The 25,464-nt window shown below is 57.2% G+C and overlaps 1 protein-coding gene and 1 long non-coding RNA gene across 2 annotated transcripts, besides 9 other annotated features; one reads left to right on the plus strand and one right to left on the minus strand.

Moving 5' to 3' along the window:
* Nucleotides 1-496: 496 nt before the first annotated feature.
* Nucleotides 497-3,370, minus strand: LOC124909469 (uncharacterized). The gene is made up of 2 exons (XR_007096194.1): nucleotides 1,984-3,370; nucleotides 497-621 (listed from the first exon to the last, which is right to left on the minus strand). It is a non-coding gene; the product is annotated as an uncharacterized LOC124909469 (long non-coding RNA).
* Nucleotides 4,003-4,192: a silencer, noted in NCBI's record as "silent region_14968". NCBI's record gives its function as "represses an Ori minimal core promoter by ATAC-STARR-seq in GM12878 lymphoblastoid cells {active_cell/tissue: GM12878}" and the evidence as "EXISTENCE:reporter gene assay evidence [ECO:0000049][PMID:35858748]".
* Nucleotides 4,413-4,472: a silencer, noted in NCBI's record as "silent region_14969". NCBI's record gives its function as "represses an Ori minimal core promoter by ATAC-STARR-seq in GM12878 lymphoblastoid cells {active_cell/tissue: GM12878}" and the evidence as "EXISTENCE:reporter gene assay evidence [ECO:0000049][PMID:35858748]".
* EPHB3 (EPH receptor B3) lies at nucleotides 4,447-25,070 on the plus strand. Its single transcript, NM_004443.4, has 16 exons — nucleotides 4,447-5,015; nucleotides 13,980-14,044; nucleotides 15,166-15,838; nucleotides 18,492-18,647; nucleotides 19,504-19,845; nucleotides 20,005-20,129; nucleotides 20,320-20,479; nucleotides 20,560-20,668; nucleotides 21,076-21,128; nucleotides 22,139-22,261; nucleotides 22,349-22,596; nucleotides 23,064-23,279; nucleotides 23,391-23,540; nucleotides 23,634-23,827; nucleotides 23,915-24,070; nucleotides 24,176-25,070. The coding sequence occupies exons 1-16, from the start codon at nucleotides 4,898-4,900 to the stop codon at nucleotides 24,282-24,284; spliced, it is 2,997 nt and encodes a 998-aa protein (NP_004434.2). The 5' UTR covers nucleotides 4,447-4,897; the 3' UTR covers nucleotides 24,285-25,070.
* Nucleotides 6,427-7,179: an enhancer, noted in NCBI's record as "H3K4me1 hESC enhancer chr3:184281553-184282305 (GRCh37/hg19 assembly coordinates)". NCBI's record gives its function as "activates a minimal SCP1, AML or CMV promoter by ChIP-STARR-seq in naive H9 embryonic stem cells {active_cell/tissue: H9 hESC(naive)}" and the evidence as "EXISTENCE:reporter gene assay evidence [ECO:0000049][PMID:30033119]".
* Nucleotides 10,514-11,028: an enhancer, noted in NCBI's record as "H3K4me1 hESC enhancer chr3:184285640-184286154 (GRCh37/hg19 assembly coordinates)". NCBI's record gives its function as "activates a minimal SCP1, AML or CMV promoter by ChIP-STARR-seq in naive H9 embryonic stem cells {active_cell/tissue: H9 hESC(naive)}" and the evidence as "EXISTENCE:reporter gene assay evidence [ECO:0000049][PMID:30033119]".
* Nucleotides 11,029-11,541: an enhancer, noted in NCBI's record as "H3K4me1 hESC enhancer chr3:184286155-184286667 (GRCh37/hg19 assembly coordinates)". NCBI's record gives its function as "activates a minimal SCP1, AML or CMV promoter by ChIP-STARR-seq in naive H9 embryonic stem cells {active_cell/tissue: H9 hESC(naive)}" and the evidence as "EXISTENCE:reporter gene assay evidence [ECO:0000049][PMID:30033119]".
* Nucleotides 11,884-12,830: an enhancer, noted in NCBI's record as "H3K4me1 hESC enhancer chr3:184287010-184287956 (GRCh37/hg19 assembly coordinates)". NCBI's record gives its function as "activates a minimal SCP1, AML or CMV promoter by ChIP-STARR-seq in naive H9 embryonic stem cells {active_cell/tissue: H9 hESC(naive)}" and the evidence as "EXISTENCE:reporter gene assay evidence [ECO:0000049][PMID:30033119]".
* Nucleotides 12,831-13,777: an enhancer, noted in NCBI's record as "H3K4me1 hESC enhancer chr3:184287957-184288903 (GRCh37/hg19 assembly coordinates)". NCBI's record gives its function as "activates a minimal SCP1, AML or CMV promoter by ChIP-STARR-seq in naive H9 embryonic stem cells {active_cell/tissue: H9 hESC(naive)}" and the evidence as "EXISTENCE:reporter gene assay evidence [ECO:0000049][PMID:30033119]".
* Nucleotides 18,581-19,183: an enhancer, noted in NCBI's record as "H3K4me1 hESC enhancer chr3:184293707-184294309 (GRCh37/hg19 assembly coordinates)". NCBI's record gives its function as "activates a minimal SCP1, AML or CMV promoter by ChIP-STARR-seq in primed H9 embryonic stem cells {active_cell/tissue: H9 hESC(primed)}" and the evidence as "EXISTENCE:reporter gene assay evidence [ECO:0000049][PMID:30033119]".
* Nucleotides 24,894-25,460: an enhancer, noted in NCBI's record as "H3K27ac-H3K4me1 hESC enhancer chr3:184300020-184300586 (GRCh37/hg19 assembly coordinates)". NCBI's record gives its function as "activates a minimal SCP1, AML or CMV promoter by ChIP-STARR-seq in primed H9 embryonic stem cells {active_cell/tissue: H9 hESC(primed)}" and the evidence as "EXISTENCE:reporter gene assay evidence [ECO:0000049][PMID:30033119]".

The raw sequence follows: 25,464 nt of genomic DNA on the forward strand, positions 1-25,464 counted from the left end.
TCTTCTTAGCTCAGTTTCCTTATCTGAAAATGAGAGTTTTTTTGGACCACATATCAAAGGTCTCTTCAGCACTGCCTTCTGGGGCTGGTGAGAAAACAGGGAAGCAGGAGAGGAAAGCCCAGGAGTGGTTGTAACTCAAAGACGGGCACCGAGCCCCTGTGTGGGGGATAGGGCATGTCCTCACAGTGGTATCCAGGCTCTAGACTGGGGGCCCAGATATAAAAGGGGTGGCAGGTCTACCCCTACATCTTGTATGATTCATCACATGAGGGAATCGAGGCCCAACGAGCTTTAAAAGACTCACACAAGGTCACACAGGTAGTGAGCATGGAAGCTTTCTCTACCACAGCGATGGCAGGTAGATTTAACTTCATGCCCAACTCTGATAGATTGGCAAGGGCTGTCGGGAGCATCACGTGGAGGAAAGAGTCTTTGATCTATTAGCAATGTCTGGCACACACTTGGGAAGAGGAAATGGCAGCAAGACCACCACATATTTACTGTAACTACTAATTATTTATTAAATTGTTATTGAGAGGCTCCTTCATGTAGGGCACTGGTCCTTATACTGGAGATTCAGTGATAAACAAGAGCAGCTCCTGCTCTCAGGAAGTTTCCATTCTAGAAGGAGAGACAAACAATATATATGTGAACAAATGACTAAATAATATAATCCCAGCTAGTCCTAAGAAGTATAAGGAAAATAAAATAGTGCAATGGGATAGGCAGTGATGGTGTGGGAGAGGAGGGAGGAGATCAAGGCAGCCAGCAGGCAACATTTAGGCTGAGACCTAGATACTGAGAAGGAGGCCTCCTTGTGAGGATGGAGGAAGAGCGTCCCAGCAGAGGGAACAGCCAATGCAAAGACTCTCCAAGAGACAGAGAGACCAGAGTTGAGGCTGTTTAGAGGGCAAGCAAGGGGGCCAGTGGAGAGGGTGGGAGCAGCGAGAAAGCCAGCTGCCTGCTCAGTGTGAGCATTTGGATGTCTGACAGGCCTCCCCAACTTAGCCAGTCCAGCACGACACTCTCAGTCCCCCCTCCCAATCACCCCTGCTTCACGCACAACAAAACCTGCTCCTCCCCAAGTCTTTCCCTTCCCTTCCCAGCAAATGACATCTTTGCCCACCCTATTGCTTGGTCCACTGTGCTACAACCCTGGCCACGTCACCATCAACTCTCTCCTGCAGCCTCCCCCTAATCCTCTACAGAAGCCCCCAAAGCACTCATCAAACCAATCCCCTCATTGCTTATTGCCCAAGGCTCTCTTCCTCCCAGTTTTGTCTTTTTTGCAGCTGTCCCTAACCCATGAACCCACGAACCCAGGGATAGATACTTTATCATCTTTTTAAAAAGAGAATCTGAAGTTGGTTATAGCCATGAGAGCGCTAAGCACCAATTCAATCCACACACATTCCTCTAGTTGCCCCCAAACAGACAGTGTTTCCAGAGTGGATATGAGGACTGGGTATTAATGATCACAGGACCATTTATCAGGCTCCTGCAGTGCTCCTGGCTCCCTGGCCAGAGCATCACAATAGCCCTGCAGGGACGGCATGATTACCATCCCACTTTCATTCATGCGGAGATTTAGACTCAGAAAGGTTCAGCTTCTTATCAGAAGTCCCAGAGCTGGTAAATGGCTGAGCCAGGATTTGGACTTAGGTCTCTCTGACGCCAAAGCCCAAGCTCTTACTTCTGCATCAAGTTTCCTCCTAGACTCAGATGGGCAAAGAATGATGGGCTCAGAAAAAGACACGTCAACCTCGGTCCGGATGTTCCCCTTTTATGCCAAAATCAAAGGTCAGAGCCTGCTCCCTGGGTTCCTTGGGACCTCAGCCTCAGCCTGGAAACAGGAAGGGTAGGACCTTCTGCCCACCTATCCCCAAAGAAATGAGGCATCCCAGCTCTCCTTATCTTGCCTAGCTTTCAGTCTTCATCCTTCCTTCTGCCCCCTCCCAAGTCCTTCTTTTGCCAGGTGGTCACCTTCTTGCCCTGGGCTGTTATAGCCAGTACCCCAGTCTTCTCCAGGAAGCATTCCCGTGGGAACCACAGTGCCAACATCCGGTGAGGACAGGCCCTCCGTTACCTGCTGGCCCTGCTGCCTCTGCTATCAGACCCAAGAACAAAGGAGCTTGGTGCCTGCCGCCTGGCTGGCTGTGTTTGTCCAGGGTGAGGCCTCGCCTGGCACAGATGCTGAGCAAACAGAAGTGCGGCTTCACAGATCCGCCTTACAACGAGCGGGGCTTTAGGGGATGTGTTGCTGCCAGGACACCTGCTGAAATATCTCTGTGTCCAACCCCAGCCAGCACTCCGGGGCATGGGGGACTGCAGGGCAAGGGGACACATCTCTGAGCCTTAGGCTTTTCGGCTCTACAATGGGAGAGTTGTATAAGATGATCTCCAAGAGCCCTTCTGTGGTCTGGAGCCCTGAGTGATGTTTCTGAAAGCCCCTAGGGCTTGAGAACAGATCTTGGTGGCAGAAATGCTGAGGGTGGTGTGGGGTTGGAAGCCAGGCCTCTAACTCATGGTAGTCCTGGACCCCAGCCCCATGTACCCACACATGCCTCTGTCTCTGACCAGCAGGACTGACCTCTTTCAGAGAAATGTCCTTGACCACTGGATTTCTGACCTCATTCACTTTCATGGAACTTCCAGGACTAGAGCTAGGGCACTTCATGGTGAGAGGACTAAGTGTGCCTGTCTTGCTTCTGAGGTCATTCAGAATCTAACTTCTCACTCTCTGCCTGCAGAAATCAAGATAGCTGGGGAAGGCTCTGAGGGACCATGGAGAGAGGTTTCTCCAGTTAGGATGGGAGAACTGCACGATGATGGTGATTCTCAGAATGTAGGTGCATCAGAACCACCTGCTTGTTAAAAATGCAGAACCCTGGGCCCCAACCCCCAGAGATTCTGAGTTCCAAGATTTGAGGTAGGAAAGGGTGGCTTAGAATTCTGAGTTTTAAACGAGTACCTAGGTCCTCTGTAGGTTTCTGATGAAATGTATTTAAAAGCTATGAAGTCCTGGGTTCAAATCCCATCTCTGCCACTTTTTAGCTATGTGACTTGAGAAAGTCACTAAGCCTTTCTGGATGTCAGTTTTGTCTGTAAAATGAGGCTGTATAAAATAACTTTCAATAAGTTCGAGTTACTGTTGCAGAGTGTTGATTGCACTTTGTAAATGTTTGTGGAATAAATGGGGCAGAAGTCCATTTGCCCAAACCAGAAACCTACTGTTCTCCTTGACGTCCTCACCTACCACATCTCTCCACCAACCAATCACAAATTCCTGTGAACTCTACCTCCTACATACACTTCACACCTGCCAGCTTCTCTCCCTCCTCAGGGCCACCACGCTAGCCCAAGCCACCATCTTCCCTTGCCTGCGCACTGCACAGCACCCTCACTGGTCTCCTGCTGCCACCATGGCCTCTGCCCATGCATGCTCCCCAGAGCAGCCATGATCATCCAAGGTCATGCCCCTACTTCAAACCCTAGCTCTCAGGAAGGCCTTATCATGAGTCCAAAAAAAATTCCTTCTTCCCCCAACACCTACTTCTAAGAACTCCTTTCAGTCCCTCTTACACTCAAGCTATTCTGAACTTCTTTCGGATTCCTCCAGTGAATCAGTTTCTTTTGCCCCTAGGTCTTCACACAAAGAGTATTTGCTCCCCTCCTCACTCCCCCGGAACACACAATCCGCCACTCACTACTCATCCTTCCTATTTCAGCTTGAATGCCAGTTCTTCAGGGCCGGACACTGGCCGTCGCCCTCACGTACGCTCGAGGAACTCTTCCTCCTCTGCAATAAAGCTCCTTACACTCTACAGCGATGACTTAATCCCACGTCCTCCACTGCTAAGCTAGTAACACAAGCCTCTGTCTTGTCCATTGCGGTAGCACCCGCAGGTACTACAGTCTGACACATTGTGGGCGCTCACAAAGATGTGCTGAATGAATGACTAAATACGCAGCCCAGTGAAAGAATGAAGAAACGATGAAGTCCCTTGTCACAGGATACATCGCGGTGGGGGTCCCCCCAAGTAGCACTAAGCTACAGCCACATGAGGGCGTCGCAGGGCAGACGCGGGCCACATGGGGGCGCCCCCGGTCCGTCTTAGCTGGTTGGCACCTCCTCGGACTCAGTTTAGGTTACTAATCGCCAATGGGCGCCAGGAGGCGGGGTTCTCCCTCTGATGGACAGCATCGCTCCGCCCAATCTAATTCATCTTTTCCTTAGCCCCGCCCACTCCGGCCCCTGAGACCCCGAGGGTGGGCCTGGCGGAGACACCGCCAACTGAACTCCAGCTGAGTGCTCTCGAGGCCGAACCAGCGGGCCTGGCGGTCTGTGAGTGGGTGGCCAGCCGCTAGGGGCGGGGCCTCAGCGTTGACGGGCAGGCAGGCCGTCCCACCCCTCTCGCCCAGAGCGGCCGCGCCAGCGCTGGGGACAGCAGAAGTGAGTACGTGAGCGGCGCAGCAAGATCCCAGCTCGGACCCCGGACGGCGCGCGCCCCCGAAGCCCCGGATCCCAGTCGGGCCCGCAGCTGACCGCCAGATTACTGTGCATCCCGAATCACGACCACCTGCACCCTCCTGCCCCGGCCCGCCCCCCAAGTCCTCAGGCACCCAGCTCCCCGGCGCCCCGGATCCTCCTGGACCGGTCCGTCCAGATTCCCGCGGGACCGACCTGTCCGCATCCCCAGGACCGCCGGGCTCGGTGCACCGCCTCGGTCCCGGAGCCGCCCGCCTGGATTGCATTCCCTCCTCTCCTGGATCTCCTGGGACCCGACGCGAGCCTGCCCCGGAGCCCGCCGAGCGCACCCTCTCTCGGGTGCCTGCAGCCCCGCCGGCGCGGCCCGGCCCGGCGCGGCCCGGCTCGGCTCCTAGAGCTGCCACGGCCATGGCCAGAGCCCGCCCGCCGCCGCCGCCGTCGCCGCCGCCGGGGCTTCTGCCGCTGCTCCCTCCGCTGCTGCTGCTGCCGCTGCTGCTGCTGCCCGCCGGCTGCCGGGCGCTGGAAGGTGAGCGGCGTCGGGGGGCGCGCCCGGGAACAAGGTGCCTGGGGTCGCGGGGCTGCGGGCTAGCAGCGTGGGTCCGACCCGGATTGAGCGCACGTCGGAGGAGGCCCCGCCACCGGCGCCCGCTCCGGGGCCCAGGGATGGGGTGGGGAGGCCGCCCCTGGAGCCGCCTCGGAGGCTGGAGCTGGCTCGGAGGCAGGCAGCCCGCGGGTTGGGGGGTCGCGGGGAGCTAGACTCGGGACGAACGTCCCCCAGAGTCCTGGCCCTGCTGTGAGCTTTCGCGGGAGTCCCCCACACTCACGGCAGAGAAGTGGGGCTCCCGGCACCCCCCGAAGTCGAGGACGTGTGGGCGACCCCCCAGGCAAGGCGAGGGCCGCGGGGCTGTGGCGGGTGGGGGCGAAGCGGGACTCCCCGGGTTGGGGGGCGCTAATGAGGAGCCCGTTGGAGTTAACTGTGAGAGTGTGAGTGCGAGCACCCCGATTTGTCAGGGGACCGCTGCGGGGGCGGACAGGCGGGGGCCTGTTATTGTTTATGGTTTACCGGGCGCCAATTACACCCGAGGTGCTGTATGGGCGGGCCCCCGCACCCTTTGTGGAGGCTCCCTCTCCGCCTGCTAGAGCAGGGCTTGGGTCTCCATTTGAACCCCTGAAGTTGCGGGATTTGCCCCAGGTAGCAGCAGAGCCCGGCGCCTTCCTCAGTAGCTGGTGGGAAAAGGCCAGGCTTCTCAATAGGTTCTGTGAAACCTGCCAAGACTGCTGTGGGGGGCAGCTCCAACTTCCAAATGATTGTACTTGGATGAACAGCCCGGCGTTGTTGGCGCTGGCAGGAGAGCTCACACGCATGCCACTTGACACAAGCTTGCCGCGGACAGAGGCCCCAACACCAGCCACAAACAATAGGGAGGCCCACACACACTCACGCCCCGTTTCCAAGAATTTCGGAGCCATTAAATGAGAGAGGGTCAGAACCTTCCCTAAAGTGGAGGGAGGGACGCCACAGAAATTCGAGGGCAATTGGAATAAAGGCAGTACTTATTTGGGGTATCTTTAACAGATCTAGTTACTTTCTTAGTTTAGGAACGAAAACACGAACTCTGTGGAACTTGGCTTGTTCTTATGTTCACAGTCGGTAAACTTAAAGGTTGGAAGGAAAAAAGAACACAGTTCAGAGAGAAAGGCATCCTCTGGTGCGTTCTAATGTTCTCCAGAGGAAAGACCTCCTATGATCCCCCACCCTCCTCATCTCTGAGCCTGCTGTGCTGACAGATCGAGTCCCACGGGTGGACACATGCAAATTCAGACTGACACACCGAGGTCTCGCCCACACTCGCACACACTCACCCACATGTGTGTGATAGGATCGCAGGCGTGAGAACCCAGTGTGGGGCTTTGTTGTTGATTGCCTTGAGGGTGTGAGCCAGGGAGCCTGTTCTAGTTGCCAGATCTGTGTCTGGGTCTCTGTGTCGTAGTCCAGGAGAGGCGACACTGGTACACACACACTCATACACTTACGGGGCTATGTGTCACCTGTGTGTGTCGGGCCACAAGGCCCTTGTTGTGGGTGTGGTGGGTGCTGGTGCTGAGTGTGGAGTGGGAGTGTGGTTTGGGTCAGGTGCACAGGGGCTACCTGAGGAGGCTCACTTCTCCCTCCCCCCTTCCCTTCCTTTCTGTCTTTCAACCCTCATCACCTACTGGACCCTCAGGAGTCCAGGCCCTAGCAGGAGCCCAAGCTTCCAAGCCTCCAGGCCAAGCAGCTGGGGGGCTGTCCAGAAGGCCGAGTCCTGATGTGCTGGGGCGGCCCGGGAAGAGGGGGCAGCAGGACCTTTCGTTCCCCATTCCCGGCCTGCCCACCTCCCCTCCACTGTGAAGTGGGAGCTAGGGCTACTCCCTGGCTGTGAGGCCAGGCCAGCATGGGATGCCTCTGGGAAGCAGCGGTGCCTACAAGGGTGGTTTCACCAATTCCTTCACTTTTGCAATACCTCAGACTCTCTGGTCTCCAGTTCGTGCGTGGGAGAATGTGAGGGAACAAATGCAAGGTGCTGACCCCAGCGCAGACATTGCACCTACCCACCCTCTGGCTCTCCCTCACTGGGAGACAGGATAGGAACCGCACCGACCTCGCAGAGTTCTTCTGAGTACTGAATTCTTAATGTGTGCAAAGTGCTTAGCATAGGCATTGTTATTCAAGGATTAGCTGTTATTATTATTGTTACCCTAGGGTCTGCTCCTTGGGGAGCTTCAGGAGTGAAACGAGTGTGTGCCCTTATCCTGCTGGAGGGAGGTTAGAGGGAGGAAAGATGAAAGGGAAGGTTGGTGCAGGGGGCTGGGGGTGGGGCTGTCTGCCCCACATCTCCCTGCAGCTCCAGAGAGGGAAGGAATGGGGAGAGAGCTGGCCCAGTGGGCAGCTGTTTTCTGCCTGTCCTCCCTCCTGTATTCTGGGGCTTGGCATGTGGATGGGTGGACTTCGAGGTCCTGGGCTGTGACCAGGATATGTGGGTTCCATAGCACTGAAGATCTCTTCAGCCCCTCCAGCTTGACAGGTGGGGGGTCTAGCTTTCTCCATCCAACCTACCATTTGGTTTCGTCAGGATTTGGTCTGCCCTTGGCCTTGTGGCTCTTTGTGTCTGGGGCATGACATTTATTTTGGCCCAGGGTCCCTGAGCCCTGGCTGCTACCTCTCATGTACCCCCTAGTTAGATGCTGTCTAGCACCTGGTTCCTCTTCCCTTCCTGCACACTTGGGGGTCACCAAGACTCTGCATCCAAGGCTGTCATCAGTTTTCCATGTGGATGGAGCCTGGGTCCTTGCTTGTCCTCGTGGTTGAAAACATGCCCTCCCCTTGCCCTCTGATTGATTGTCCCCTTCCCCCATGCAAATTGCCCTGGGCTTTACGCACAGCCACAGGGAAACAGGGCCACCTTGTCACCCACTGGTCTTTTGAGTAATGTTCCCCAGTTCCCCAAAGCCAAGATTATTCTCCCCTCAGGACCATCAACGGGTCAGGGGGTGGGGTCCAATGGGGAACAGACTAGGAATGGGGCCTGAGATGAGGAATGGTGTCTGAACCCCAGCACCCCTATACTTGGGATAGGATGGAGAGATCCCCGCTGGGAAGATATCCTTTTGAGAAAAGAGAAACAGTTACCAGATCGCAGGAGGTGGGGCCAGCACGTCCCCCTCCAGCCAAGCCTTGGTAGCTGAGTTGTCACTGCAGTGGAACCTGTCTCTGAAGGAACAAGACAGCATAGAGCCCACCTCCTTCACAGGGGCAGCAGGAGTGACCCCTGAGAACACGGGAACTGAGAGGGGACAGCGGGCCAGGATTTGGAGGGCTTGCTCACTTGTTTGAGTTGCCTCTGGCACCCCCAAACCCCATCCCTGTCTGTCAGGAGCTGGCCTTCTGAGCAGCTGCTGGGGGCCGGCAGGTATTTGGAAGAACCAGTTTGCTCAGCACTGCCCTGTCTTTAGCCACAGCTGCTGCTGCTGCCACTGCAGCTTCAGCGGCTGCTGCGAGCTGAAGCCGAAGCTGCCGAAGCTGCCGTGGGCAAGGCCTCTGCCGCACGGCCTTCCACTAATTAAACAGCATGAAGAGGCTGAATCACCAGGCCTGCATAGTTTGAAAATTGTAGCCCTGCCTGTTGTGCTGAGTCAAACTGGTTTGTCGGGATTGGGCAGCTGGGGGGGGTGAAGGGTGGAGGGAGACTGGATACAGCTGGGCACCTGATGGGGTGGGAGAGGCCCCCTGCCCAAGGGCTAGCCCTGGTGCCAGGTCTCCTATTCCCTTCTGCCCCCAGCCTCCTGGCCAGACCCAGTGTGGCCAGCATCACAAGGAAGGGCTGAAGGGCTCAGGTTAAGGGCTAGCTGTCCACCCGTCCTTCTGGCTGCTGGCAGGGCCACAGTGGGGTGGGGGCATGGATGAGCACCGAGGCGTTTGGGCTCCCCGCCCTGGGCTTCTTTCCCCTTCTTCTCCCTCTCAGGTTTATTTAATTAGAAACCCCCATGATCTGAGGGGAAGAATGAAAAACAAAATGTGTTCTCTGTTCTGAGATGTTCCCCCCACCCCATCCCAGACATGGGGGCCAAGGGGCTGTGGCAGGAAAGGAGGAGGTGGCCCTGGGTGAGTTAGGCTCCCCACAACATGCATCTTCTCCAGTCCCATGGCAGGCTCCCCCCAAGACGCCTTGATCCTCACGCTGACCTCCCTGTGTGTACAGGCTGGCACACGTGTGTACACATCCTGACCCATGGGAGGGGAGCCAGCTTGGTGGCTGAGGAAGGGACTCCGTGAAGAGGAGGAGGGTGTCCAACTCGGGTGGCATAGCACTGCTCCAGGCTGCTCCTCCTTGCGCAGACCCTGGCCCCCTGCCCTCCTGCCCCGCTGCACACTCTGCGGGCCCAGCCCTGGTGCTGACCTTTCCTTCCACCTCTAAGTCCCTAGTCTGGAATTTGGGCTGAAGCCTTGCTGCTTCTGTCTTTAGTTGTTTTGTGTTTCTGTTTTTTGTTTTGGCTTGTTTTTTTCTGTTGTTTGTTTGTTTTCTGGGTCTCAATGACACTTTTGCTCCCAGGGTGCTATGGGGCCTGGCCCTCCACCAGGGCAGGTGGTAGGCCCTCAGCTGGTGCCCCTCCCACAGGCCAGGGTGCCCATGATGTCCTCCTCATGCCCTGCTCAAGGTCCTCGACCTGCAAGCGGAAGAGCCTTGCCCAGAGCTTCTGAAGCCAAATCTCTTCAGGGAGCTACCCTCTACCAAGGGCTCAGGGGCCCTGGAGACAGTGCCATTGTGCTGGCAGGGAAGTGGCTTGTTACTTGGGCAGCGGCTATACCTGGGGAGGCCGCACCCAGCCACACCCAGAATCATCTTCATGCCCCTGCTCCACCCCAGCCTCGTGACCTGACTGACAGCTCCTGCCCAAGCCAGGACAACAGGAAGCAGGGCTGGGGCTGTTTCCCTACACCTCTGGCTAAGGCTGCCCCAGCACCTCTGCTTCCCTTGCAAGAGTGGCCCATGTGGCTGCCCTGCCTGAGCGAGAGGCACCAGAGTGTTGGGGGCAGGATGAGGGGTACCACCCTCTCCCAGTAACTCTTCCTCTACCCCACTGGAAGACATCCCATAAACAGAACCATGCTTGCAGGGTGTGTGTGTGTGTGTGTGTGTGTGTGTGTGTGTTGCGGGTGCATGGAGGATGCACCTCTGAGGCTTTACACAAATCTAGGTATTGATACTTACACCATGTCAGGGTGCTCCTTTGCAGGGGCTGTGGCATATTTCAGTGTCATTGGACATCTGTGACTTTGCAGCTGATTGTAGTTTGTGTGACTAAAAGCATGTCGCCAAGTCTATACAGGGAAACTGGTGTTTGTGTTTGCACTTTACACCGAAGACTGTGTGACTTGCAGCTGGTGATAGCATGTGCAATTGGGTGTGTAAGGAGAACATACTGCAGGGTTGGGGGTGAGTGCCCTCTGTGTGCGCATATGTTTCAGGAAATCTGCACATAGGTAGGCTGGAAGCGTGGGTCCGCCTAAGGCAAGCCAGATCTCTGTGTAGGAAAGATTCACTGTATATGAATGTCTAAGGAAGACTAATCTGTTTGTACCATATGCATCCGTGTGTCTGAGAAAGACAGACCATGGCTCTGTGTGAAGCTGGGTGTGTGTTTGTGGGCGGCTGTGGCTTTGTGTGTTTTTGTCCACCATATGTGTTGACTTGTCACTCTTTAGCCCCAGTGGCGGGGAGTGAGCCCAGCCCCCAGGACTGGATGCTGCGCGTGCATCTGTGTGTTTGTGCATGGGTGAGGGCCACACAGCTGCTGCCACGTGGCTGCTCTCCATGGCCCTGTGGAAACCTGAAAGAGGTATTGCTTAGCTCCTGAGCATCAAAGCTCCAGTCCCCGAAAGACCCCAGGCCTGGTGACTACCTCCCTGGTGACTTTGCTGGGCAGTTGTGGTTTCCTGCCTGACACAGCCCAGTGTCTAGGGTGGCCAGCCTCTTCTCCCCTCTGCCTCCTGCAGATACATGGCAGGACGGCGAGGGATGGGGTGCAGCAGGCAGCTGGGGGAGTTGAGAACTTGCTCACTCACTCCTCTTTTGTCTTTACCCGCTGCCCCTCATACCCCCGTCCCAACGTGTGTATGTACAACACACGTACACACACGTGCACACACATGCACACGCCGCACACACAGCACAGAAAAGGTGGGCTGGGTCTCTTTCTCCCAATACCACGGACAGATGGGTTCTATGACCCCCCCCCCACATCCCCCTCACCTCCTGCCGAAGGCAGGGACCAGGCACCCCAGGGCTGAGGAGGGCCTTGCCCCGTCCTCTGTGCCTGGGCAGGCTGAAGGGAGCAGGCTCCTCCTCTCCCCCTGAGAAACGGGGAAACCGAGAGCACGCGGCCCCCTCCCCACCGGAGTGACCGAGCCCTTCCTCGGGCACACATGACTCGAAACCCAAGTCCTCTCTTCATTAATGGGAAAAATGTGGCGAGATTGAGCGATGGCCAAGGCTGAGCGATGGCCAAGGGCCGATCCCCTCCCTCCCTCCCTCTCTCGCTCCCCAGAAATTAAACAGAAATGAAGAGCCTCCCTGCCTCCCTCGCTCCCTCCCTCCTTCCCGCCGCCGCCTCTCCGCCGTCCCCTCCCTCCGCTCCCTCCTCCCGGAGCCAGCGCAGGGCTTGTTTTAAACTGTGGAGGAATCTGGCTGGAGGGGGAGGGGGCTGAATATTTGGGTTTAAACAGTTCCAGATGGGTTTGGCACAGGCTGAGCAGAAGGAAGTGAGGGAGAGGGAGGAGGGAGGCGGCGCGAGGGAGCGGCTGGAGCCCCGGCCTGCTCCGGCGGGCGGACCGGCGGGCGGACCGGCGGGAGGACTGGCTGCGGGGGCAGGGCGCGCTTGCTCTGCCGGCTCCCGGGACTGACACTCGCGCTGCCGGCTGGGGACGAGGCCGCCTGGCAACCTCCCTCTGTCCCTGTCTCCTCGGGCCTCCGCGTCTCTCGGTCTCCCTGTCTTTGTAGTCAGCCGCCGGCCATCCCGGCTGTCGGATCCCCGCCAGCCGGCTCCGCACATCCCTCCGGCTCCGTGCCGCCCACCGCCCGCCAGCTCCAGTCGCTGCCCCGCCCGCCTCCCTCCCCGCCTGTCTCTGTGGGCCCCGGCTTCTGAGCATCTCGGCTTCCCTCGAGTACCCCCCAGGCCGAATGTCTGTGTCTGTCTGTCTGTCTGTCTGTCTGCCAGAGGCCAGGATCGCTCCCCTTACAGCCGGGCCCTCAGGGGACCAGGGGCTGCGGCAGCGGGAGGAGCCTCCCTCCCTGCAGTGAATGGCTGCTGCCTGCAGCCCCTTTGCCTGACATGGCGGGGGGCTGGGGTCACAGCTGCCTTGTCCACCCACGGGGTCCTCCGCCGTCCTCGGCTCAGACCCAGCCTCCGGGAAACCACTGAAGGCTGCAAGCCTGTGGCCGCGGGGTTTGGGCTTTTCCCCACTTGGGCACCCAGAGGGGATGATGTAGAGGCCTCCAGAGGTCCTGGGGCAACCCTGCCCCATTCCAGCTTCAGAGCTGGCTGCACTGTCTTCCAGGCCACGGGAAAGGAGTTGGCACCTCTTTCCTTCCTTTCCTGACCCAGGTCTAATCTGGGGGTCACACTGTCTTTCAGAGAGTAGGGACATCCAGCCAGAGCGCAGAACCAGGTTCCTAAGGGAGCAAGTGTATGTCAGAAACATTAACGGGCCCCTCCTATGACCAAACAAGGTGAAACAGACAAGAAACCAGCTCAGAACACAGGCCGGGTACTGTGACAAAGCCCCTGGCCCTAGATGCACAAAGGAGGGCATCTTACCCTGACTTGGAGGTTCACGGAAGGCTTCCTGGAGGAGGCAACAGCTCTGTTGGGACTTAAATGATAGGCAGTTTTCTAGGCTTTCTTTCATCCCTCCTTTACAGAGGGGCATATTGCAGTCAGAGTGCAAGGGATTAATTATAGAGTCAGATACACCTGAACCTGATCCACCCTTGTCCCCTCACCCCAAGTCCTAGCAACTTCACCTTAGGCAGTGTATTTTCTTTGTCTGGGCATCAGTGTTCTCTTCTGTAAAAGGGATACACCAACAGTACCTTCTTCCAAGGATTGCAGGAAGAATTGAACTAAGAGCTGGTTTGGGGCTTTGGTGGTCCCCTCTCCACCCTCAAAGCGCATCCCTGCCCCATCACCTGTAGGTGCTGCGTGGGAGCTGGCTCTGGCCTGTCACTGCCCTCCCCTTCCCCTGGGCCTTGTGTGGGGCTGGGCCTTTGTGCTGGGAACGGAGTCAGGGGAGGCCAGGGCCAGGGTCTGGAGCACACAGCCCTTTGTTCCAGGATAAAGGCCCTGCCGGCCCCTTTGTGTGGAGATTAGCAGAGCCTGTAGGTGTGTGGACCAGCCTCTGCTCCTGCCTCATTAACCCAGGCCTGGGGTCAGGGCACTCACCCCTAGCCTGCCCGACCTGACATCTTTGGGGCTGTGACATCTCTGGGGATGGCCGCAGGGTCTCCTGTAGGCTAGGGAAACTGGGGGCTTTCAGGACTTGTGGAAAGTGGAGCCTGGGGGGAATCCTTTCCTGAGCCATCTCTTCTTTCTTTCTTTTTTTTTTTTTTTTAGACAGAGTTTCTCTCTCTGTTGCCCAGGGTGGAGTGCAGTAGTGCAATCTCGGCTCACTGCAACCTCCGTCTCCCAGGTTCAAGCGATTCTCCTGCCTCAGCCTCCCGAGTAGCTGGGATTACAGGCGTGCGCCACCAGCCTGGCTAATTTTGTATTTTTAGTAGAGATGGGGTTTCAACATGTTGGTCAGACTGATCTCAAACTCCTGACCTCAAGTGATCCACCTGCCTCAGACTCCCAAAGTGCTGGGATTACAGGTGTGAGCCACTTCGCTCATCTGTGATCTCTTCTGTCTCCTCAACCTGAGATTAGTCCCTGACCTTTTTCTCCGTTGTTCCTCCAGAGACCCTCATGGACACAAAATGGGTAACATCTGAGTTGGCGTGGACATCTCATCCAGAAAGTGGGGTGAGGCTTTCCCATCATTCTCCTGAGTGTTGTTTGCCATTAGGCCTCCCCCCACTTCCAGCCTCCGTGCCCCCTCATCTCACCAGGGCCTGGAGGAGGGCTGCCTCTGCCCTCTGCCTGTCACCCTCACTTCCTGTGCCATCCCCATCATCCTCACTTGTGACCCTCTGAAGCACCTCATGGTCCTTCTCTGTGGGCATTTCTATCTCTCACCCCTCTGCCTGCCTGTGCCCCCCAGCTCCCGCTCCCTCTCCCTCTCTTCCTAACAGCCCTCTGCATGTCCATCCCCACCATCTCCCTCCTCCCTGGGTCCCTGGAGAAAACACTGGCTTGGAAACCTTAGTTCCAGATCTTTAACTTGCTGTGTGACCTTGGGCAAGGCCGTTTACCCCTCTGGGTGGCCACTTCTTGACTGTTAAATTCCCGCAGTCCGGACCTCTCTCACATATTCTAATTAATCTCCCTAGATGGCCTTCATGGCTGCTCTAAGCCCTAGAACCCTGGAGTACGATGGCACTACAGGCCCTGCAGTCACCAGGCCTGACTGTGTGACCTTGGGCAAAACTCCCTTCTGCGAGCCTTGGCTTCCTCATCTCTAAACGTCGGGACAACAGATGCGGCTCCTCATGGAGCTGTTGTGAAGATTGAATGCGATGTTGATAGTGACAGCCAGTAGCCCGGAAGTGCTTGCACTGCTACAAGCCCATTACATTTATTAGCCTGATTTAATTCCTCACAGCCTCGTTTAGTTCCAAGCAGCCCCATTTTACAGATGACAAAACTGAGGTATAAAGATAACAAATATAGCTGATGTTCCTGCAGTACTTACCAAGTTCCTAGTCCTGTCCTAAATGCTTTATTCAGTTAAAGTCATTATTCCTTACACATCTTTATTATCCCCATGTTACAGATGGGGAAACTGAGGCACATGGCGGTTAAGTGACTTACCCATAATCACACAGCAGGCAGAGAGCTGGAATTTGAGCCCATATAGCCTGTATGCTCAGCCACTGCACACCATAGAAGCATCCCTGTGAAGTAAATAGAGCAGATCTGGGCACGAGGGAAGCACTTGGCAAATGCAGGCATTCACTCTGTCTTTTTCATTGGTCCATGCACAGTGGGAAGAGGTGAGTGGCTACGATGAGGCCATGAATCCCATCCGCACATACCAGGTGTGTAATGTGCGCGAGTCAAGCCAGAACAACTGGCTTCGCACGGGGTTCATCTGGCGGCGGGATGTGCAGCGGGTCTACGTGGAGCTCAAGTTCACTGTGCGTGACTGCAACAGCATCCCCAACATCCCCGGCTCCTGCAAGGAGACCTTCAACCTCTTCTACTACGAGGCTGACAGCGATGTGGCCTCAGCCTCCTCCCCCTTCTGGATGGAGAACCCCTACGTGAAAGTGGACACCATTGCACCCGATGAGAGCTTCTCGCGGCTGGATGCCGGCCGTGTCAACACCAAGGTGCGCAGCTTTGGGCCACTTTCCAAGGCTGGCTTCTACCTGGCCTTCCAGGACCAGGGCGCCTGCATGTCGCTCATCTCCGTGCGCGCCTTCTACAAGAAGTGTGCATCCACCACCGCAGGCTTCGCACTCTTCCCCGAGACCCTCACTGGGGCGGAGCCCACCTCGCTGGTCATTGCTCCTGGCACCTGCATCCCTAACGCCGTGGAGGTGTCGGTGCCACTCAAGCTCTACTGCAACGGCGATGGGGAGTGGATGGTGCCTGTGGGTGCCTGCACCTGTGCCACCGGCCATGAGCCAGCTGCCAAGGAGTCCCAGTGCCGCCGTGAGTGGGGACTGTCCTGGGGAAAGGGTTGTCGGGAGGGCCTGGGCCACAGCTACCTACCGCCCCGCCCCCCACCCCTGCTTGCTATCTGACTAGGAGGTCTGGGAGCAGGTCCACAGTGGAGGCAGGAGAGGGAAGAGTGGGGATCAGATGCAGAGAATGTTGTGTAAGGAGGGAGAAGAGAGAGAAAATGAGGAGAGACACAAGGATAGTAAGAGAAAAAATGACATTAAAGAGAGAGGAAGAGAAGCATGCAGAATCCTTGGCAAGCAGGCACCTGGAGAACGCAGTCAGAAGCTTAGGAGGCTGGCAGAGATGCTCGCTTTGTCCCGGCCTGAGTGTATGCTTCACCCTGAAAGTGGTAGGTTGGCCCCAGGGCCAAGGGCACGGGGGCTGTGGGTACCTTGTGCATGGCTTTTTACCCTGGGCTCTCTGCCCCTTGGGAGGCAGTATATAAATGGCACAGTGGTTAGGGGCCCAGTCCCTGAAGTTGAGTCCTGACTCTGTCACTTACCACTTACGTGACCTTGGGCAAGTTACTTTTTTTTTTTTTTTTTTGAGATGGAGTTTCACAATTGTTGCCTAGGCTGGAGTGCAATGGCGCGATCTTGGCTTGCTGCAACCTCCACCTCCCAGGTTCAAACAATTCTCCTGCCTCAGCCTCCTGAGTAGTTGGGATTACAGGCATGTGCCACCACACCCAGCTAATTTTGTATTTTTAGTAGACCGGGTTTCACCATGTTGGTCAGGCTGGTCTCGAACTCCTGACCTCAAGTGATCCACCCGCCTCGGCCTCCCAAAGCGTTGGGATTACAGGTGTAAGCCACCACTCCTGGCCCTGGGCAAGTTACTTAACTGTTTGAACCTTGGTTTCCTTATGTGCAAGATGAGGAAAATAATAGAGGTTCCTTCATAGGGCTGTAGCGAGGCTTCTTATGTGAGCAATGCTTTGCCCGTAGAACAGTGTCTGGCACATGGGAGCACAGCCACCAGCTAAGTGTTGGCCATGAGTCTCCAGAGCCCTGGCATCCACGAGAGCTGGGCTGTTCTGCCCTTATTGTATACATGAGGAGTTCAGGAAGCCTGCCTCGGATGGCTTGCCAAGACTTATGTACTAGGCTTCGGAGTTATCAAAATTGTCCACCTAGGGGGTCTCTCACTGAGCCTCACCAGTCCTTGTGAGGTAGATTCCTGCCATCTCCCTATTTCGCCAATAAGGAAACTGAGTCTTGGAGAAGCTCTGTGCACAGGCCTTGTAGCTAGGGAATGTGGAAGCTGGCACGGAAGCCTCCTCCTGTGCTCTGCCATGCAGGATGGCATGCTGAGGGCCCTGTCTTTCGCTCCCTCTGCCCGATTCTCTTCCTTGGGGCTTGCAGCCTACAGCTCTGAGGGGTAGGTGATGACTCTTATGGCAGCCCTAGGCGTGAGAGGGGCTTGGCAGCATGAAGCTGGCTGCGAGGCCATGTTGTCATGAGAAGGTGAACAGTGCCTTTCCCGGGCCCTCTCCACTTCTCGATGGGAATCTGTCCTGAGATTTCCTCTTCCTAAGTGGAGAAAGGGGGTGGGGTGATGAGCCTGACAGCCTGAAGAGGGGCTAACACTCTGCAGGTCCCCGGCAGGAAATGCATGCTGGTTCCCATAGCAACCAGGCTGGCCTGGCCTCTGCCCCCTCCCCCACTGGCTCAAAAGAGCTAGGGTGGAATATCACCTTCGTGAGGGCAGATGAAACCCCAGAAAAGGGCAAGCCCTAGCGCTGGGCGTTCTCCCCTATGGGTGTCCCCCTCCACAGGCAGTCATATGGAGAGGCAGTGACCCACTTTAGTGTCTAGGAGGGTCTTGGTTTATGCCCATTATCCTAACACAGTTATTACTAGTGCCTCCTTTGACTTGCAAATGTTCCAGTGTGAAGAATACACGATAAGGCTACCATCAATCCACAGAGCCTGTGTCCAGGGGCCCAAGGGTAGATGGCAGGAGGGAAGACTGGGGAGAAGGGATGCTCAGGCCCTGGGCTTGCTCTGGGGTGAGTCCCCTTGTGGACACTTGAGGCCTCTGAACTCCAGGTGACCCCAGCCTTCCTGCCTGCTTTCTTTCTCTCCTCCTCTCACCCGTCCTCAGCCCCCATCCCTGCCCAAGGGCAGACAGGAGCTGCTGCCTGCGCCTGGTGGGTGGGGCGAGAGCTTCACTGTGAAGGTCCCGTCTCCTGGCTGTTCTAGGGTGTCCTTCAGGGTCCTCAGGAATGATTTTTCTGGAGCCTCGGGGAGAGGTGGGGCATCTCCACAGTGCCGGGTGCTGCTAGCCCACCGGTGGTCTCTTCTTCACCCCACCTCTTCCTCTGTCTTTCTCTGTCTTCCCTGCCTCAACAAGCCCAGGCTGTCCAGGTGATGGGGCTGACGTCTTCGTCCATGAGGCCCCGGGGTAGGGGTGAGGGGGGCAGGGGCGGGGAGGAATCTGCTGACGTGGGGTTTCCATGGGGCAATAGGGCCTTTTGTAGCTGCAGCTGGAGTTAGGCAATCCCAGCATTGCCCCCACAGTCTAGGAGGTGGAGGGGCCAGACCTAGGCTGGGGAGAAGCCAGGTTCTCATGGAGCTGCGGAGGTCTGGTGTCTGCAGGGAAGGGAGGTGAGCCCCATTCATCCTCTTCTCTCCCACAGCCTGTCCCCCTGGGAGCTACAAGGCGAAGCAGGGAGAGGGGCCCTGCCTCCCATGTCCCCCCAACAGCCGTACCACCTCCCCAGCCGCCAGCATCTGCACCTGCCACAATAACTTCTACCGTGCAGACTCGGACTCTGCGGACAGTGCCTGTACCAGTGAGTGAACGCGTGACCTCTCTTTCCCTCTGCAGGCCTTCCCTCTGGGGGGCCAGCCTGGGAAGCCTAAGCAGTCACTATGAATAGCCCCATTTTCCAGGGAAGGAGCTGAGGCTCAGGGAAGTTAGATGTTGCGCTCAACATGGCACAACTGGGAGGTGACTGCCCCTGAGCCAGAATCCAGGTCAGCCGGCTCGTCCCTTCCACCAACGCTTGCTAAGCACCTACCTGTTCCTAGCCATGCTCAGGAACTTGCTCCTAGCCATGCTCAGGAACTGGCTCCTAGCCATGCTCAGGAACTGGCTAGGAGCTTAGCAGTTGGCCTTCTAGTCCGTTGCCCCTCCGTCTGTATAGAAGTGCCTCTCTCCAGCCCCACTCTAACCATGGAGGGGGCCTCACATCCTGAGGGTGGCCTGGTGCTCCACTTCCTCTCTGCCCTGGCCTTCGGTGTGCCGGGCATTGTGCTGGGTATCGAGGGTGAGGAGGTGAATAAGATACAGTCATTGTCCTAAAGGAGCTCACAACCTGGTGGGAGAAATAGGTGTAAAAACAGATAATGACCGTAATGTACTAAGAGCTGGGCTAGAAGGCTGTCTAGGAATTGTTTTATGTACATGTAGAGTATAGGGCAAGGACGAATCAAGGAAGGCTTCCAAAAGGAAGTGATATCACAAGCTGGGTATTGAAGGATAAATAGGAGTCTGCCTGGTGAAGAAATGTAGGAACGTTATTCTGCTTATCAAAGCAGAGGCAAGGCAAGGAGGTAGAAAGCAGATTGGAGTGTGCTGGAACTCCGGGCAGAGGGATGGTCCTAGAGCCCCCAGCTCACTACCTTCTCCCTCCATATTCCTCACAGCCGTGCCATCTCCACCCCGAGGTGTGATCTCCAATGTGAATGAAACCTCACTGATCCTCGAGTGGAGTGAGCCCCGGGACCTGGGTGGCCGGGATGACCTCCTGTACAATGTCATCTGCAAGAAGTGCCATGGGGCTGGAGGGGCCTCAGCCTGCTCACGCTGTGATGACAACGTGGAGTTTGTGCCTCGGCAGCTGGGCCTGACGGAGCGCCGGGTCCACATCAGCCATCTGCTGGCCCACACGCGCTACACCTTTGAGGTGCAGGCGGTCAACGGTGTCTCGGGCAAGAGCCCTCTGCCGCCTCGTTATGCGGCCGTGAATATCACCACAAACCAGGCTGGTGAGGAGGGGACACTGGAGGGTAGGGCCTGGGTCACTTTCTCCTGGATGAGGTGTCCCAGGACCTGCTAAGGGACCACTGGGGGTCCCATGGGAAGTGGGTCTTTGGGAAGGATGCCAGGGTCCAGGGAGCCCCTGGTGAGCCCTCTGCTCTTCCCAGCCCCGTCTGAAGTGCCCACACTACGCCTGCACAGCAGCTCAGGCAGCAGCCTCACCCTATCCTGGGCACCCCCAGAGCGGCCCAACGGAGTCATCCTGGACTACGAGATGAAGTACTTTGAGAAGGTCAGAACCTCAAGGGGCAGGAGGAGGCCTTGGGCTGAGCTGGGCTGAGAAAATTACCCCCGGATCATGATGGGGCCCTTGGGAGCAAGGCCTTGGGTATGGAGGGGGCATGTGGCAGGCCTGGGTGTGAATAGGGGCTGGTTGGCCTCAGGACCCACCTGAGGGTGCCCCCTCTCTCCTGGCATTGCAGAGCGAGGGCATCGCCTCCACAGTGACCAGCCAGATGAACTCCGTGCAGCTGGACGGGCTTCGGCCTGACGCCCGCTATGTGGTCCAGGTCCGTGCCCGCACAGTAGCTGGCTATGGGCAGTACAGCCGCCCTGCCGAGTTTGAGACCACAAGTGAGAGAGGTTAGTAGCCCCCTGCGCCTGTCCCCATCGCGGCCCTCACTCTCTGTCCCTCCACTCAGCAGCCCCTTCTCTATCTCCAGGCTCTGGGGCCCAGCAGCTCCAGGAGCAGCTTCCCCTCATCGTGGGCTCCGCTACAGCTGGGCTTGTCTTCGTGGTGGCTGTCGTGGTCATCGCTATCGTCTGCCTCAGGTACTCCCAGGCCCACTGTTGCTCCATGGGCCGCCTCGAACTGCCCTTTAGCATCCTAGAGCCCTCATGCCACAGAGATGAGCCGCCACCACTTCCCTCAGACCCAGGGCCTTAGCCCTCCTGGGGCCAGCCGTTGCTGGAGAAGCCCTCTCCCATCCCTGCCTGTGTCTTCATCCCGCCCTTTCTCCATACCCCATTCCCTGAATCTCCGGGCAGGTTCCCTAGGGACTGAGTCCACTGAACCCCTTGCTCAGACACCCAGAGACTGCTGTGACCACCAATTGTGGGACTAGGCCCCAGGCCATCCCCTGTATCCTCTCCGCCCCTTCTGTGAGCCCAAGGGTGCCCTGAACAAAGGGAGGCAGATGACTTGTCTCAGGCCTGCCCTCCACCCTGCCACCCTACAGGAAGCAGCGACACGGCTCTGATTCGGAGTACACGGAGAAGCTGCAGCAGTACAGTGAGTTTGTCCCCGCCGCCCTCCCCAAGCTCTCCCAGCCCCCTGCAGGGCTCTCAGACACCCTTCTCCCTGCCTGGGACTTCATTCCTTAGAGATAAACCCTGAATGCCCCCTCCCACTTCCAGTCAAGTGGCATTTCCTGACCCCTATCTCACTCCGGGTACCCTGGGCCCCTACTCACTCCTGCTAGCCCCAGAAATGACTGAGACGTGACCTCTCCCCCTAAAGGCAGTTAGTCCTGTGGGAAAGACAAGATGCAAACACACAGGAAACAATTTGAGAACAATTAAGGGTTGAGCTGGGTGCTCCTGTTGTAAAGGGCACTAAGAGTTTAGAGAAGAGGAAGGCTTCCTCGAGGAGGTGGACTTGAGCTGAGCCAGGCGGGATGAGCAGGGTGTTGGGAGGTGAGGGAGAGCATTCCTGGCCAGAGGAGCCTCTGGAAGGTAGTGGGCGGGGTGGGGAAGGAGCCCAACTGTGGGGGCAGCGAGAAGACTGGTTTGACAGCTGCTGGGAAGCCAGGCTGGGTAGCTGTGGCCAGCCCTCGGAGGGTCCTGAAAGGCAGGCAGAGGAGTCTGGACTTGACTCCACCATAGGTAATTGGAAAGGCTCTCAAGCTGGGGAGTAATACAATGAAAGGATTGTTTTAGGAAGACAGCGGTATGCAGGATAGCTCGGTGGGAAAAGTCCAGAGGCAGAGAGCCCAGCTGGGAGGCTATTGGAATAGTGTGAGTGTTGAAGGCCTGGACAAGGTCGGGGCAGTGGGAACCAGGGGAGGCATGAATCTGAGAGAGGTCTGGATGTGATGAGAGATGAGAGAGAAAAACTAGGAGTAGAATCCTAGGTGTCTAGCCTTTATGGTCACCAGGAGTTCTCATGGGAGCTGGAGGATTAGGGCAGCAACACAGAGGAATATGGGGCTGGGCTCAGCAGGGAGCCTGCTGGAGCTGTGCCCATCGCAGGGAGAGGCTGGCTTGACGTTACCCTCTCACGCCCACCTCTTCTCCCTCCAGTTGCTCCTGGAATGAAGGTTTATATTGACCCTTTTACCTACGAGGACCCTAATGAGGCTGTTCGGGAGTTTGCCAAGGAGATCGACGTGTCCTGCGTCAAGATCGAGGAGGTGATCGGAGCTGGTGAGTCTCCCGGGGCACAGTAGAGATGAGAAGCTGAGGCGGGCTGGGTACAGGAGTGAGTCATAGCTTGTGCCCTGTGCCCTGCAGGGGAATTTGGGGAAGTGTGCCGTGGTCGACTGAAACAGCCTGGCCGCCGAGAGGTGTTTGTGGCCATCAAGACGCTGAAGGTGGGCTACACCGAGAGGCAGCGGCGGGACTTCCTAAGCGAGGCCTCCATCATGGGTCAGTTTGATCACCCCAATATAATCCGGCTCGAGGGCGTGGTCACCAAAAGTCGGCCAGTTATGATCCTCACTGAGTTCATGGAAAACTGCGCCCTGGACTCCTTCCTCCGGGTAAGAGCCAGCCCCCAGGCCCTCTCCCTCCCCCAGAGAGTTGGATTGGGCTCACCATCCCCTCCCACAAGTCAGACAGCCCCTATTCAAGTCCATAAGCATTTACTGAGGTGGCTTGGTGCAGGGAAATGGCAGGGCCTTCATAGCCATAAGTATGGGAGTTCACATCTTGACTGTTCCTTACTGCCTGTGTGACCTCAGGCAAGTGACTTAACCTCTTTGAGTCTCAGCTGCCTGGTTGTAGAATGGCAGTGGTAAGAGCTAGTGGGTCCTCATGGGGATTAACTGGGATGTTGTCTATAAGATACTTGACACATAGTAGGGCAGCTCACTTACCCTCAGGGCACTCTGGACATGGTTGCAGGAGAGACGAGGTAGAGTCTGAGTACTCGGAGAGGGAAGGCAGGTGGGCAGGCCATGGGCTGATGGGAGCAATGGGCTCACCTGAGCCTGCTTGTTGCCTGCAGCTCAACGATGGGCAGTTCACGGTCATCCAGCTGGTGGGCATGTTGCGGGGCATTGCTGCCGGCATGAAGTACCTGTCCGAGATGAACTATGTGCACCGCGACCTGGCTGCTCGCAACATCCTTGTCAACAGCAACCTGGTCTGCAAAGTCTCAGACTTTGGCCTCTCCCGCTTCCTGGAGGATGACCCCTCCGATCCTACCTACACCAGTTCCCTGGTACAGGAAGCCGCTGGGAGGGAGACTGGGGGCGGGGCCTATCAGCCAGGGGCTCGGGCCTGGGGGGCAGCCCGGAGTCACAGGGTGAAGGGCCTGTGCCCCCCTCACCAGGGCGGGAAGATCCCCATCCGCTGGACTGCCCCAGAGGCCATAGCCTATCGGAAGTTCACTTCTGCTAGTGATGTCTGGAGCTACGGAATTGTCATGTGGGAGGTCATGAGCTATGGAGAGCGACCCTACTGGGACATGAGCAACCAGGATGTGAGTGAGGCTACGCCAGAGTGGTTGGGTAGGTGGGTGCTGGCTGGGGATCATGGCAGTGGCTCACTCAGGGTTTCCCTGCCTTCGGCCCAGGTCATCAATGCCGTGGAGCAGGATTACCGGCTGCCACCACCCATGGACTGTCCCACAGCACTGCACCAGCTCATGCTGGACTGCTGGGTGCGGGACCGGAACCTCAGGCCCAAATTCTCCCAGATTGTCAATACCCTGGACAAGCTCATCCGCAATGCTGCCAGCCTCAAGGTCATTGCCAGCGCTCAGTCTGGGTTAGTACCTCTGCCTCTGCTCCCGCCAAGCCAGTAGCCCTATCTCCCACCTTCAAGACTCACCAGGTCCTTCTCTTCTTCCCACAGCATGTCACAGCCCCTCCTGGACCGCACGGTCCCAGATTACACAACCTTCACGACAGTTGGTGATTGGCTGGATGCCATCAAGATGGGGCGGTACAAGGAGAGCTTCGTCAGTGCGGGGTTTGCATCTTTTGACCTGGTGGCCCAGATGACGGCAGAGTAAGTGTGCCTCAGATTTGGAGGAGCAGGGCAGGGGGCCCTAGGCTGGGCCCAGAGTTGAGGGCACGAGGAAAGGGACTGATCCTAATTTGGCTCCACCTGCAGAGACCTGCTCCGTATTGGGGTCACCCTGGCCGGCCACCAGAAGAAGATCCTGAGCAGTATCCAGGACATGCGGCTGCAGATGAACCAGACGCTGCCTGTGCAGGTCTGACACCGGCTCCCACGGGGACCCTGAGGACCGTGCAGGGATGCCAAGCAGCCGGCTGGACTTTCGGACTCTTGGACTTTTGGATGCCTGGCCTTAGGCTGTGGCCCAGAAGCTGGAAGTTTGGGAAAGGCCCAAGCTGGGACTTCTCCAGGCCTGTGTTCCCTCCCCAGGAAGTGCGCCCCAAACCTCTTCATATTGAAGATGGATTAGGAGAGGGGGTGATGACCCCTCCCCAAGCCCCTCAGGGCCCAGACCTTCCTGCTCTCCAGCAGGGGATCCCCACAACCTCACACTTGTCTGTTCTTCAGTGCTGGAGGTCCTGGCAGGGTCAGGCTGGGGTAAGCCGGGGTTCCACAGGGCCCAGCCCTGGCAGGGGTCTGGCCCCCCAGGTAGGCGGAGAGCAGTCCCTCCCTCAGGAACTGGAGGAGGGGACTCCAGGAATGGGGAAATGTGACACCACCATCCTGAAGCCAGCTTGCACCTCCAGTTTGCACAGGGATTTGTTCTGGGGGCTGAGGGCCCTGTCCCCACCCCCGCCCTTGGTGCTGTCATAAAAGGGCAGGCAGGGGCAGGCTGAGGAGTTGCCCTTTGCCCCCCAGAGACTGACTCTCAGAGCCAGAGATGGGATGTGTGAGTGTGTGTGTGTGTGTGTGTGTGTGCGCGCGCGCGCGCGTGTGTGTGTGCACGCACTGGCCTGCACAGAGAGCATGGGTGAGCGTGTAAAAGCTTGGCCCTGTGCCCTACAATGGGGCCAGCTGGGCCGACAGCAGAATAAAGGCAATAAGATGATTCTCTTGCCCCTTCTTATTCCTCCTCCCAAAGCAAGATTCCCTGATTCAGAGTTCACAGTCCCTGGCTGCCAACCCTTCGCAACTCCCTGGAGGCATTGGGAAACCAGATCTGGGCCCATCCAGGCTCAGTTTCCCCTTTGTGCTTGGCCCTCACTGCTTTGAACACCTAACGCACTTCTTGGAAGTGGGTCAGTGGCAACGGAGAGCTAACTACCCCAGAGCTCCTTCCTTCTAAGGCAGAGACCTTCCTGGGGTGGGGGCAGGCTCTTGTGTCTGGATGGTGTTTTACTGAGTCGGTTCCCAGCCTTTGTCTTTAAGGGAGCTGAGGGTAGAGGGGGTTGATCAGTTCCCAGGGTCACATGACCAAGGACAAAGGGAAGGAGAGCCACTGG

Source organism: Homo sapiens, chromosome 3 (assembly GCF_000001405.40).
Source record: "Homo sapiens chromosome 3, GRCh38.p14 Primary Assembly".
Classification (NCBI taxonomy): domain Eukaryota; kingdom Metazoa; phylum Chordata; class Mammalia; order Primates; family Hominidae; genus Homo; species Homo sapiens.

Coding starts and splice junctions, on each gene's coding strand:
- EPHB3 (NM_004443.4), top strand. CDS start 4,898: ATGGCCAGAGCCCGCCCGCCGCCGCCGCCGTCGCCGCCGCCGGGGCTT. Junction 15,839..18,491: donor CAAGGAGTCCCAGTGCCGCC/GTGAGTGGGGAC, acceptor TCTCTCCCACAG/CCTGTCCCCCTGGGAGCTAC. Junction 21,129..22,138: donor GGAGAAGCTGCAGCAGTACA/GTGAGTTTGTCC, acceptor TTCTCCCTCCAG/TTGCTCCTGGAATGAAGGTT.